At 41.3% G+C, this 12,587-nt stretch overlaps 3 pseudogenes, 1 gene segment (V, D, J or C) and 1 further gene; all 5 read right to left on the minus strand.

Annotated features, from left to right (window-relative positions):
- IGH (immunoglobulin heavy locus) overlaps positions 1-12,587 on the minus strand; it is a 1,293,408-nt gene that overhangs the window by 1,087,853 nt on the left and 192,968 nt on the right.
- Positions 726-1,176, minus strand: IGHV3-66 (immunoglobulin heavy variable 3-66). The segment is given in 2 exon segments: positions 726-1,029; positions 1,131-1,176. Coding segments are annotated over 2 exon segments (350 nt in total), but the record flags the coding sequence as incomplete, so codon positions are not given.
- IGHV1-67 (immunoglobulin heavy variable 1-67 (pseudogene)) lies at positions 6,314-6,753 on the minus strand (annotated as a pseudogene). The gene is given in 2 exon segments: positions 6,314-6,624; positions 6,708-6,753. Coding segments are annotated over 2 exon segments (357 nt in total).
- Positions 8,341-10,060, minus strand: SLC20A1P1 (solute carrier family 20 member 1 pseudogene 1; annotated as a pseudogene).
- On the minus strand, positions 12,104-12,253 carry IGHVII-67-1 (immunoglobulin heavy variable (II)-67-1 (pseudogene); annotated as a pseudogene). Its single transcript is given in 1 exon segment — positions 12,104-12,253. A coding segment is annotated over 1 exon segment (150 nt).

Below are 12,587 nucleotides of genomic sequence, written 5' to 3' on the forward strand. Positions count from 1 at the left end.
TCTCCCACGTGGCTGGAGTAGCCAAGCCTGAGCCTTGCCTGAGTTCTAAGAAAATGCCTTGAGCCCTGGAGTGTAGATCACAGAGACCATGTGTTTCTTTTTCAGGAAGAAAGAAAAGCAAATAAAAAAGGGAGAACAAACACTCCAAAGAAAGAACATGTATTGGGAGCAAAAGCAGCACCAGATCAGTGCTGATGCTCATTGGCTTTAGGGTCAGGAGAAGGGTCAGACTTGAACCCTGTGAGCTTCTACAGGACACTGACCCTGGCCCAGCCTCTCTATTGGCTGTGATCAGAATCCCTGCCGTTCTGGTCCAGGAATCCCTCTGAGGTTTCTGTCCTGGGCCTGAATGGAGGAGACTCATCAGACACCCGTGAGCTTCCTCAGGACTGCGATCCTGGTCACAATGGTTGAGAACTTTTCATCTTTGTAAGCATCAATGTGCATTTGGTGCATGAGAGGTTATGTCCTCATGTTAAAATGATCTTTTGAAAATATGTAGAGATGACATTAGGAACCACAGAATTCTAAAATTAGAGAGGTTCATTAGAGAAACTGTTGGAAGAAGATGAAGTCCCACATCCTGACAGGAAACAGCCTCCACCTGCACCTGCCTCCGGGGCTGACTCTGATCAGTGGCTCCTGAGCGCCCCCTGCCGCTGATTCCCCCAGCGTTCCTGCAGGGAGGTTTGTGTCTGGGCGCACAATGGCCTCCCCTCACTGTGTCTCTCGCACAGTAATACACAGCCGTGTCCTCAGCTCTCAGGCTGTTCATTTGAAGATACAGCGTGTTCTTGGAATTGTCTCTGGAGATGGTGAATCGGCCCTTCACGGAGTCTGCGTAGTATGTGCTACCACAGCTATAAATAACTGAGACCCACTCCAGCCCCTTCCCTGGAGCCTGGCGGACCCAGCTCATGTAGTTGCTACTGACGGTGAACCCAGAGGCTGCACAGGAGAGTCTCAGGGACCCCCCAGGCTGGATCAAGCCTCCTCCAGACTCCACCAGCTGCACCTCACACTGGACACCTGCAAACACAGAGACATTGGTTAGAAACTGCCACACATATCCACTGTTTCTCTCACTCGTGTTCACTCACACTCAATATCTCTAGTTCTCCATGAATCACCTTTTAAAATAGCAACAAGGAAAACCCAGCTCAGCCCAAACTCCATGGCGAGTCCTCTGTGTTCAGTGCAGATCACTGAATGGAAACACCTCGGAATCCCAGTGCTGGGCTCCTCTCCCAGAGCTGCAGGGTCAGGGCTGGGCTGGTTTTCATCAGCAGAGGGAGGGCCCTATTTGCATGTCCCCCATTATATAGCAAGCTCTGTGATGGGACATCTGAGGAGAGGCCGGGCCCAGTGCAGATGAAGTCTCCTGGGGGAGATTGGTAGTAATTCCATCATTCAGGAAAATATAATTTTATATTATGTGATTGTGCCTTGATTAACATTTAGCTCTCATAATCTGATTTTATTTTTACATATTTACACAATATATTTAATGCAGCCTTTAATGTTGTATTTTACAGAAGATAATTTACATAGAGAATACAGCAGCTGTGCAGTGCGTCTAAGTTTACACATCTAAAAAAATGTAATCCTATTATCTGGGCCTGTGCTCTAATCACCGGAGGAGGCAGCTCCCCTGAGACAACTCCAGGGCAGCGTGGACCATGCCTAGTGAAGTCTGCAGGATTCCCCATCTGTTATGACAACTTTCTGTAATTCACCTAAATATGCAGAGAGAACCATGGTTCATGTGTGTTTTCAGAAGTCAGTCATATTTCTTCTGTCAATATCAGTCTTTTTATTGCTCCATTTTAGCAAAAATATTCATTTATTTCTTCGTTATTGCTTTATTCAAGTATAATAAATAAATAATTAATTCAGATTTATAGGGAATGATTTGAAAAATGTAGAGCTATGTTTGCAGCCATTCACTCGGCACTTCAATCAACTTTTGAATAATTAAATTAATCCCTAAATCTTTTTCCTTATTCCTCTGAAACTTAAATCACATCCGCATCATTCCCAACACCATTTTCTCAGAAAAATTTAAGTCTTCTTCATTTTAATTTATGGTAGTGGCATCTTCTAATATTTCTACAATGAATTATATAAAATTTACTCTTAATTCCTTAGCTTCTTTCACTCAGCACAATTCTTTGAGAATTTAGCCATGTTTTTTATGATTGAGGCACACCTTGATTCGAAGCTGCATTATATACTGGTACACAAATATATGTCAAACTATTTAATTGTTCACCGTTAGGAAAATGTTATTTTTTCTCTCAGCTAATGGATTTTATAGAGAAAAGTAGCTACTCAGCATGGGAATGTAAAAAAATGAGTAAACTATGATCTTATTCTGACCTTATTAACAACAAACCTGAAAAACCACAAATGTGGGAAAAACCTTCAACATATCTGAGTTGATATCACAGAGGAAAAAAATAAACCTTAAATCTGTGGCGAGAGGGGCCTGCAGAGAGAACCATATATTAGTGTTCCTGGGACAGATACCAACTGGATGTTATTTAAGCTAAGAACCAGCTGACTTGAAAATATTCAGTGAGTTGCTGGAGGATGCATGTGCTCATACTGTTAGACTGTGAAGCTCCTGGTGCTTGCAGGCTTTTCCTACAGAATTATTATTAATTATTATTGCTCCACTTTATGCAAATGATCAGACCAACCACAAGACTAAAGTTTATTTTGCAAATCACTCAGTCCTATAATGATTAGTTTCTGACAAAAATCAGAACTGGAGAGAGAAAAATTATGTTTCAAAACATATCATACATTTGTCTTTAAATTACAGTCTCTTCAATTGTTTTAAGTATTTGCCTCCATTTTAGACTAACTCTGCTTATCGCTGTGAACGAACCAATGATCTCTGGCTGCAGCTCAGAAGAAACACAGGCATGGGCTATATAAACATCTGGACGAATATTTTAATTCTGAGCAATTATCCTGCAAATCATGCCAGGTGACTGGAATAAATAGGGTCCCCCTAACCCGGAGGTTTCTTTGTTTGGGAAAATAAGTCCTAGGGAGCTAACGAAAGCCAAGCCCCATGCACCCAAATCTTAGCAGGCATAACTACAGCCGCCAGTTATCTGGGTGTGTCAGCAGCCTTGGAATTTTTTTTCAAACTGTCCTTACCACCTTGTTTGGTTTTGATACATGTCTTCTAATAACCTGGTTTGTCTCTTCTCACCTTCAGGCATCAACTCCAAATGGTCATCCAAGTGAAGCCTGGGATAATGGCTCCCTTTTACTAGGTCCCTTAGACAGACCTCAAGGGAGATCTTCCCAAAACAGCATCCCCTGTCAGCTGGGAGCAGTTAAGGTTGGCCTTTGTCTGTATTCTAACGGCAGTTAGATGCGCTTATTCAAAGAGGAAAATGATAGAGGGAGGAGGCAGATAACTCTCCTAGGCAGACAGGGGAGAGTCCCCATAGAATGTCCAACCCACGAAGGTCATTGTGCACAGGGGGCTTGCCTAGACGTGCCTGCAGTGAAAATTGTTAAAATTGTCTTTATCATTCTCTGATAAAATAGCCACACATAATAATCCAGCTGCATGAAGATAAAAAAATAACTAGTTTGAAATTAGAACAAGTCCCAAGTAAATCAAAGTTAGCATGTGGTTCATAATGTGATAGACAGGAGACATGGCTGAATACTAAGAATGTGTTCACATCTATTTTATGTCAAGATCAGGAAAATATTTTGTATATTCTTTAGGTAAGAGTCCCATTGAGAACATCAATTTAAGATTATATATTAATGGATAATACCTCAATAATTAAAACAGAGGTTATTTACCAATAATTTGTATTATTAGCACAAACTTTCATTTAGGATATATTCTCCTATGTGTTGTGAAATTAACTCAAAAGGCAGAAAACAGTGCACTTATTAGAGCTTTTAAACAAATTAAAAATTAGAATTAAGTATATATGTTCCTAGTTAGTGTAAAACTTTGGAATATTTTTGCAAACAAAAAGGGTTCTTATGTCTTCTGGAAATCTTATCAAAGTGGACAACAAGAGAAGAAACTCTCAGATGAATTTCTACCTACTAGAGAACTGATTAATAGAATTTTAAAGTAAATGCTAACACACAAACAAAAAACTAACAGGGAAGCTAAAAAAAATAGTGACTTAATACACCAAACACTCTAGCTCAATCTAGTTTATAATATAATCTAACCATGGAGGGCATTGTCATTGTTCATATCGGAGATTTTTGGGAAGGCAGGGTCAAAGAATCACTGGAACTGGATGCTCGGGTTTAATCTACCTGTCACTCTTTCATTTTTCTTTAATATGAACCCTGTTTTGGTATTTAATGGAACCAACCTTCATCAACAAATAAGTCCAAGAAGTACATTAAGAGGAGCCTGGCCCGGAGGAAAGTCATAGCTGTCTGCAATCCGTGCACTTAGAGCTAGAATCCTCTGTTCTTAACAATAAGGCAAAGTGTTCACGTAGAAGGAAAGAAAACACAGGCTACATATTATCAGGGCTGGAGTTCATACTTTCCTGGATGCTGAGCTCAGGTTTTCACTTTGTCCCCCAACATCCCACAGACAGGCACCTCATTGTGCCCCTGCAAACTCCCTGTGCAGTGTGGCAAGTGGGTGAAGGTTCACTGTGTCTGGAAAGCATCTGGAGCCTCCTGCTGACAATGTTGTCACCTGCTCTTGATTCTCCTGCTTCCGTCTCATCTCCTGCAGGGGCTAGTATTTCCAGAGGAACCTCATGACTCCCTGGGACAGGTCTCCTGGAAAAGTCCCTGTAGAACAATCAACCATTGCTGAGATCTTCTCTGAGGACATACTCAGGTACTCGGCACAACTTTGACTTCAAACACTGGGCAACGTGTCACAGGGACAAGAAATTGAAGACTTACATGTCTAGTGAAGAGAGATGCAGAGATCCTAAAGAAATTGCAACAGCCAAATGTCATCATCATAATCATTTTTATATAGTTATATAATATATATTATATTATATAATTATAAGTATTAATTTTTAAAGTAGTGTATAGTAGTGGGTAACTAGTGGGAGGAGGTTTGTGTGCAGATTGTCACCTTCCAGAGTGCACTCATCATGGGGTTGACACTGACAAGCACGCATATGGACTTGCTCAGCTGGAGAGTGACAGGCATTTTTATAACCTGTGACCCCAGTAAGGCTCTCCCACTGCAAGAATGATCAGGCGCAGGCCTCTGGCTAAAGTGCAGCCAGCAAGTGGGACCAGTGCCCAATGCTGAGAGGGCTTCCTTCAGGTGCCAAACGATGTCAAAGGAAGTGATTCTTCCTGCCTGGATCCCCTGCATGTATTCTAATTTCCTGCAGAAAGGGCCTCCTCCAGAAATACCCCCAAGAGCTTACGCTGTATTTAATCCAACTCCAGGGCATCATACATGAAATCCCTCATGTCCAAAGTCTCCACTTCTCAAAAAAGGTTGTGCATTATGGAATTCACCAGAAGCTTCTGGCCTTTTAGTGAAATGGACCTTCCTCCCACGCTTGGAGAACTTACCCTCTGGGAAGGGGCATAGAAAACCAGGAGTCAGATGAGCTCTAAGTCAATGTGCATTTTATGGATTCCTGAAGAAAGAGTGCAAAAAGGAATGGCCCCACCCACTTTCCCTCTAACTGGCATCATTCCCAGTAACCCACTTGAAGAACCCGTGGCGCTTCAAAATAATTTATGTTTGTTATACCGGGGGACCACCAGGAAAGGAAAGAACTAGTGTGTCCATGTAGGTTCATCCCACATAACGCAGTTAGGACTCTGTTTCAGGGAGCTGATCATGGGGAGGGCTGTGTATGTGTTGGGCAGGGGTACATGGGAGCTCTCTGTTTCTACTTTTTACATCTGCTGTAACCCTAAAACTGCTTTATAATAAATTTAATATAAAAAGATAGGCAGTTTCTCAGAAATTACATTTAGTCTTAGTATTGGATCAAGCAATCTTGCCCTAAATGATTTACCCATTCAATTTTAAAACGTCTGCCCCCACAAATCCTCCATGGGAATGTTTGTTTCAGCTTGATTGATTGCTGCTTTTCCCACTCTGTTAATTTTGCTTATAGGGTGAGATTTGAAAAGAATATTTCTTATATAATTAGAATGCATATATCTTTCTATTTCTTCTTTTCCTCAATTATATAACCTATTTTCTAAACAACATTAAACCCCATAAATCCTGTCATATCCTGAAAACTGGGACAGCTGCTTCCTCCCTCAGGGTTACTGACACTCTCAGGATATGAGTTTTCACACTGTGTCTCTCCCACAGTAATACATGGCCGTGTCTTCAGATCTCAGGCTGCTCAGCTCCATGTAGGCTGTGCTCGTGGATGTGTCCCTGGTCATGGTGACTCTGCCCTGGAACTTCTCTGCGTAGCTTATGCTGCCATCACTAGGGCACATCCTTCCCATCCACTCAAGCCCTTGTGCATGGGCCTGGCGCACCTAGTGCATAGAGTAACTGGTGAAGGTAGGTGTATCCACAAGTCTTGCAGGAGACTTTCACTGATGCCCCAGCCTTCTTCATCTCATCCCCAGACTGCACCAGCTGCACCTGGGACTGGGCACCTGTGGAGAGGACACGGGAGTGGATAAAACCCCCTTTGACTGGACCCAGTCACCTTAGTCCTGGGGACTGAGAATTATCCTACCTGCAGCTACGACCACCAAAATTAGGATCCTCCAAGTCCACTCCATGGTGAGGAGCTGTGCTCTCAGGGGCTTCTCTAGAGGAGGGATGTGGTTATTGGGTGATGCTCTCAGGGCACAGAGTTATCTGTAGTGTTCACCTCAGGTGATTTGCGTATTCATGAGGACTACTACTTCATAGCATTACACCTGATCCAGCACGAGAAAGAGAAAATAGATCTCACATGGACAACACAACTGTGGGATGCTGAGGTACAAATCTTCATTCTTATTTAATGACATGTTTCCCTTTATATGCCCGGAAATTTGTGAAGGGAGAATTTCTCCGCTAAGAAGCTGACTCACACCGGACATGGTTCTCAGCGTGAGCCCAAGTTCCCATGGCACATGGACAGCCTCCGCCCTTTCCAGGATTTGCTCTCCGCAGTCTTACTCTCGGGACCAGTGTGTCTCTGAAATGTGTACATTTTTATTTAATAAAACCATTCTTGTTCTTTATCTTTTTACTAGTAAAATATCTCAAAGCAGTAATAATTTTGCCTTTTAAATGTGGTTCTCACTGAATTATTGATTTATTTATTTCTAAATACATTAGGGTATTTAAATATACATAAATAGTCCTCATAAAATTCTTATTTAGCATGTTATAATTTTTTGGTTTTCAGTAAAGTAACACTCAGTCCTTGTGAGAGACTCCCTCTGCAGCCTCCTGTGCACCAGCTCTGGGGCTGGAGCCTGTTCTGGGTGGGTCCTGGGCGCCCCCTGCAGCACTGCCTCTGCCCTGCATGGAGGTTTCCATCTGGGCTCACAGGGCATTTACCTCTCAGTGTCTCTAGGGCTATAGGAAGTGGCCATGCCCTAGTTTAAAATGCTCTTTCAGTGACACCATATGTTACTGACACCATCGTTTGAAAACATTGACCTTAGGAGACCCAGTCAACTCTATGAAAGAATTGGGGATTCCCTTCCCTGGAACTCAGGATGCATTGAATCAGTGGACACATAGTCAGCACCAAAATTTTCAAGACTTTTGGCGAATCCTTTATTTTATTTAGACTCCTGCAGTTAAATATTACATCTAAGAGTGCCTGTAGGTATCTATGCTTGTGGATCAATGCCCACTCCATGTCTTCTGTTTCAATAACACACACATTCACACAGACACACACACACACACTGACACGGAGCTAGTAGATTTTTATAACAATGGGCCTCTAACTTACCATTTTTTTCTAGTATCTTGCAAATAGGGAGCACCCCCTACACTGATACTAGACCTGAGTATACGACTCCCTTCTTCAAACAGAAGTAAGGAAAACAGTACACAATTGGAGATGTAGCAAGTGTACATTCATCATGTTTGCATATTGTCACCTTAGAATACTGCAGTTTCCCTAAGAGAAGTGACTCTGTGTCCACCAAAAGTTGAGTCATGACCTTGGTCCTCAAGCTATTGGTATCAGAGGCTTCGAATTGCTCTACTGTCCTTGACTTTTTTCTCCCATTGTCTTTGCATTTCCCTATGTTCTCCTCCCTAAATAGAGTCTCTGCATTACCACACTCATCTTCAATGTAGATTAATTATACTGATGAGAAGGTAATGTGTGGGACAGGGGAGCACTGTATTGTTTTTTCTTTTCTTACAACTATAGGCTTTTTCATTCAGTTAAAAGGTAAACAGATTAACATTGGAGGCTATTCCATTTAACTAGCCCAAGTTCCTATTCCACTTCATATATCCATCCTACGCTGCCATACATCTTGAAGAAATGACTGCCAAAAGACTGCTTCTAACTTCTTCTTAGCAATAACCTTCAATGAATTGCTTTCAAATAAGTTATTCCTAACTTAAAATTTTATTGTGTTCAAAGAAACTCATCCCTCTAAGAGGTTTCCACATGTGCCAATAGAACGTTCCACCACTGACAGGAGGGCAGAATACCAATGATTCTAATTACAGGAGCTACTCCAAGGAAAGCTTCCATGATATTTGTGTTGTTAGATTCGGTGCTTGTTAGGGCAGAAGATGGTGAGACTAAAAATGCAGCGCACACTCTGTCAAATGGCTGCATGTTTGGTAGTTTTAAAAAATCTTTGTTTATCTTTAGAGACAACATTTAAAACATAATGGAATTGAAGCCTGATACAAAATATATAGAAACTTGCACAGGAATAGACAGCCAAGAAGCAAAGTGGAACTCAGTGGAAACCTGGCTACATTACATAGCTCATTTTTAACCTAACCATATTTATCACAAAACAACTGTAGCACAGTAACACTTTCCTTCTCTGGCTCCCAAATTTAGTGTCAGCCTTCCCTAACGCTAATCATTCTTTCAGAGAGCCGGAATATGTAAGGTAGTCCCAAACATTGACAAAAATGTTAATGTCAAGCAGCTTCAAACTGTGAGGATGACATACTTGAAGTCAGCCAAGATGGCAGCACTGATAATTCCAGAAATAAAGATTGTGACAAACCAGGCCATACAATATAATGAAAGAGCCATAAGTCAACAACTTTCTTGGATTAAAGCCAGGTACAAAGAAGACTGTTACAATGTGTTGTACTGATGAGGAGGCCAATATTTGATGCAATCACCAATGAGGGCAGGAGCCAGTCCAGTACTGAAGGCACCAGGCGGTGTGACAGTGTCAGATTCTTCCCCATGGTCTGAATAACTCTCTTTCTCCAAACCCCTAGGCTAATGCAGATGCCATCACCACCAGAGAGCAGAAGCCATACTGGCGTCACCACTCTTGAGGAAACATCTCCCACATTATAAACCAGATACAAAGCCACCAGAGAATGTACTGCATTGCTGATGTCATTACCACCATGGGCGAGTGACCTCAATCGGGCAATAAGAAGCTGCAGCAAATGGAAGAAGATAGAGAGTTCAGGCTTATCTTGGCCATACCATTCTTCTCAAGAATGACTACTTCCTTTTCTTTCACCTAGACCCATCTCCCCCTTGATACTCATGAATATCTTAGATGCTGGGAAGGTCAGACACAGCATTGCAGTAACTGGTGTAGCTGTACATTCAAAATCACTTCTTGGAGACTGCATTGGGCCATGCATGTAAGATTCTCCATTTACTTGACCTTCTGAAGGACTTCTTTGGAATGAAATGAATATAGAGGCATGCCATGTATTGTCATGATATAGGAAAAATAGCTATTATTGCACCTTAAGTGTTTGCCACCAGATCTCCCATGCCATCTTCCACTTTGTCAATATGCAAACTATAGAGAAAATCCTTGTGTAATCTAGAATCTTTAGCCATGTTGTAATACACATAATGTCCACTGAAGCTATCTGGTTGCTGATGGCTTGATTGAACTGGACAAAGTTTCTTACAATTTCATCTCATTGATTTTATCCTCTTCCATTTCTTGGCTGTGACCTTTAAAAGCAGTCTCCATTAATAAAGCTGATTTTGGTCTATTACTTCCTTCCCTGTCTGCAGCATCTCCGGTCTATTTTTGTTTAATCTTACCCTACTGGCTAATATTAATTATTTGCATAATAAAGGAAGCCTGGGCAGAGGGTTCTGCATGACAATGAAGGACCTTCCACCATGGAGATAAATTACTGGAAAGATTCTTCCTCTGGATGGTCTGTCTGGAGAAGGTTCTGGGTATATGTTTTAGAGATTAGGTCTCTTGAAGACTGACCCAATTCACAAGGAATTTATATTAATTCTAAGTTAAAAATGTGGAGGTTCCTGGAGCAAACAAGGGCCCCCCAGAATATCTCTTTCTAATAATAGCACAAACCTGTCCTTTAAGTTCTTTAATTCAGATGTATATATAACAAATCAAACAGACAGGGTCATTTAAATAGTAACTTACTCATTCAAATAAGTTAGGGCAGCAGCTGAATATAATAATCAAATTGAATTCAAGCAAATCTGGGTGCAAACAAATGTTTATCATAGTTCAGAACAGTTTCATTAACTCAATTAATCTGTGTAACATTTCATTTCTGAGGTATTTCACCACCAAGTGTATTGAAGTGTTGCCATAATATTGCTGTGTAGTTGGATTTTTTTATGTCAGCCTAACATGTAGGTCAGTTTGAAAAATGTAAATTTTTCTACAAAATGGCCATCATCCCTAGTGTTGCTAAAATATCCAGAAATCCTCAATCTTATTGGTTTTCACTAATACCTGAATTTCTGCAAAAATTATATGAACCAAAAAAAAAATCTCCCCTTCATGGATGACTGAAAACTGTGAACTTTACTCACCACTACAAATAAAGCCAGTTAATGCAGGATTCTCAGTGCGGCATGTTGAGCCAGTAATGTAGGGCACATATCCTAGAGGGGTCCCAGTGTGTCTCTGCCAATAAAATTTGAATTGAGGGATCCTGATTATGCATTCATGGGAGTATAGAATCCTCAGGATCCTTAGCAATAGAGCTTTACAGTGAAAGGCTTGCAGGTGGAATGAGTCCATGATGATTCAGCATCTCCTTCTCTCTCTTTTTCTCTATTGTCATCTCTCATTACTGTTCTTTGCTTCAGAATCCTTAAACGAGCCAACAGCCTCCATTCTACATACTGCCAACTCTGGGCTGAAAGAGAATTATGAGCAAAACAAATGTTTTCTTAACAAGGTGAGGAAACTTTCTGAACTTCCATTAGGTTTATTAGAGACTCTCATGGAGAACCATAATCAAGCATTATTTGTTTTTCAGTCACTCCCCAACATTGAAACTGTTTTTCATAATAGCTACACTAATCTGAATCTCCACCACTATGGAAAGCAGTAAGATGATCTTAAATCAATTAGAACTAGAACTACTGTATGACCAGCAACCTCCCTTCTGGGAATATACCCAAGATAGAAAAAATCACCACCTTGTGGAGATATCTGCACTCCTATGTTTACTGCAGCGCTATTCACAAGAGCCAAGATATTGAAATAATCTAAGTGTCAATGAAAAAAAAATGCAGAAAAGTGGCTGGATGCTATGGCTCACGCCTGCAATCTGAGCACTTTCAAAGACTGAGGTGGGTTGATTTTTTGAGGTCACAGTTTGAGACCAGCCTGACAAACATGTTGAAACACCATCTCTACAAAAAATACAAAAATTAACCGGGAGTGGTGGTGCATGCCTGTAATCCCAGATACTCCGGAGGCTGAAGCAGGAGAATTGTTTGAGCCCAGAAGGCAGGGATTACAGTGACCTGAAATCACGCCACTGCACTCCAGCCTGGGTGACAGAGTGAGTGAATCTCCATCTCAAACAAACAAACAAACAAACAAACAAAAAGGATAATGGCAATGTGGTATGTATACAGAATAGAATATTATTTAGCCTTTTAAAAGAGATGCTGCCATTTGCCACAGTAGGAATGGGTTTCCAGCAGCACTAGCCATGCATTTTATCCATTCAACCCATTCCCCGGGGACTGGCAGATCCACGTCCAATATTAAGCATTGGTTGTGATGAAGTGGCCAGAGACAGCATGGGTGAGGTCAGTGTGTGATCTTCACACCTAGGCATGACTGCTGTAGCTGCTCCTGAATAGGACATCTGGCGGTATGGAAAATTAGTTACTGTCAGTTACAGTACTATTCCCATAGACCCATGTCTGTCATCTGGACATCTGAGACTCTCATGATTTACCATCTTTAGGCTGTTATCTCGATACCTAAAGGGTATTCTAGTCAGGGAGATGCACTAAGGTCTCTGTTCTGAGTGTGATTGGAGAAGACTCAACAGGTCCCACTGAGCTGCTACAGGTCTCCAATTCTAGCGACCACGGTTGAGGACTTTTCATTTCTGTAAATGTCAATTTGCGTTTTGTCCATATGAGAATATGTCCTCATATTACAATATTTTTTAAAAACCTATTTAGTGATGGCAT

Source organism: Homo sapiens, chromosome 14 (genome assembly GCF_000001405.40).
Source record: "Homo sapiens chromosome 14, GRCh38.p14 Primary Assembly".
In the NCBI taxonomy this organism is placed as follows: domain Eukaryota; kingdom Metazoa; phylum Chordata; class Mammalia; order Primates; family Hominidae; genus Homo; species Homo sapiens.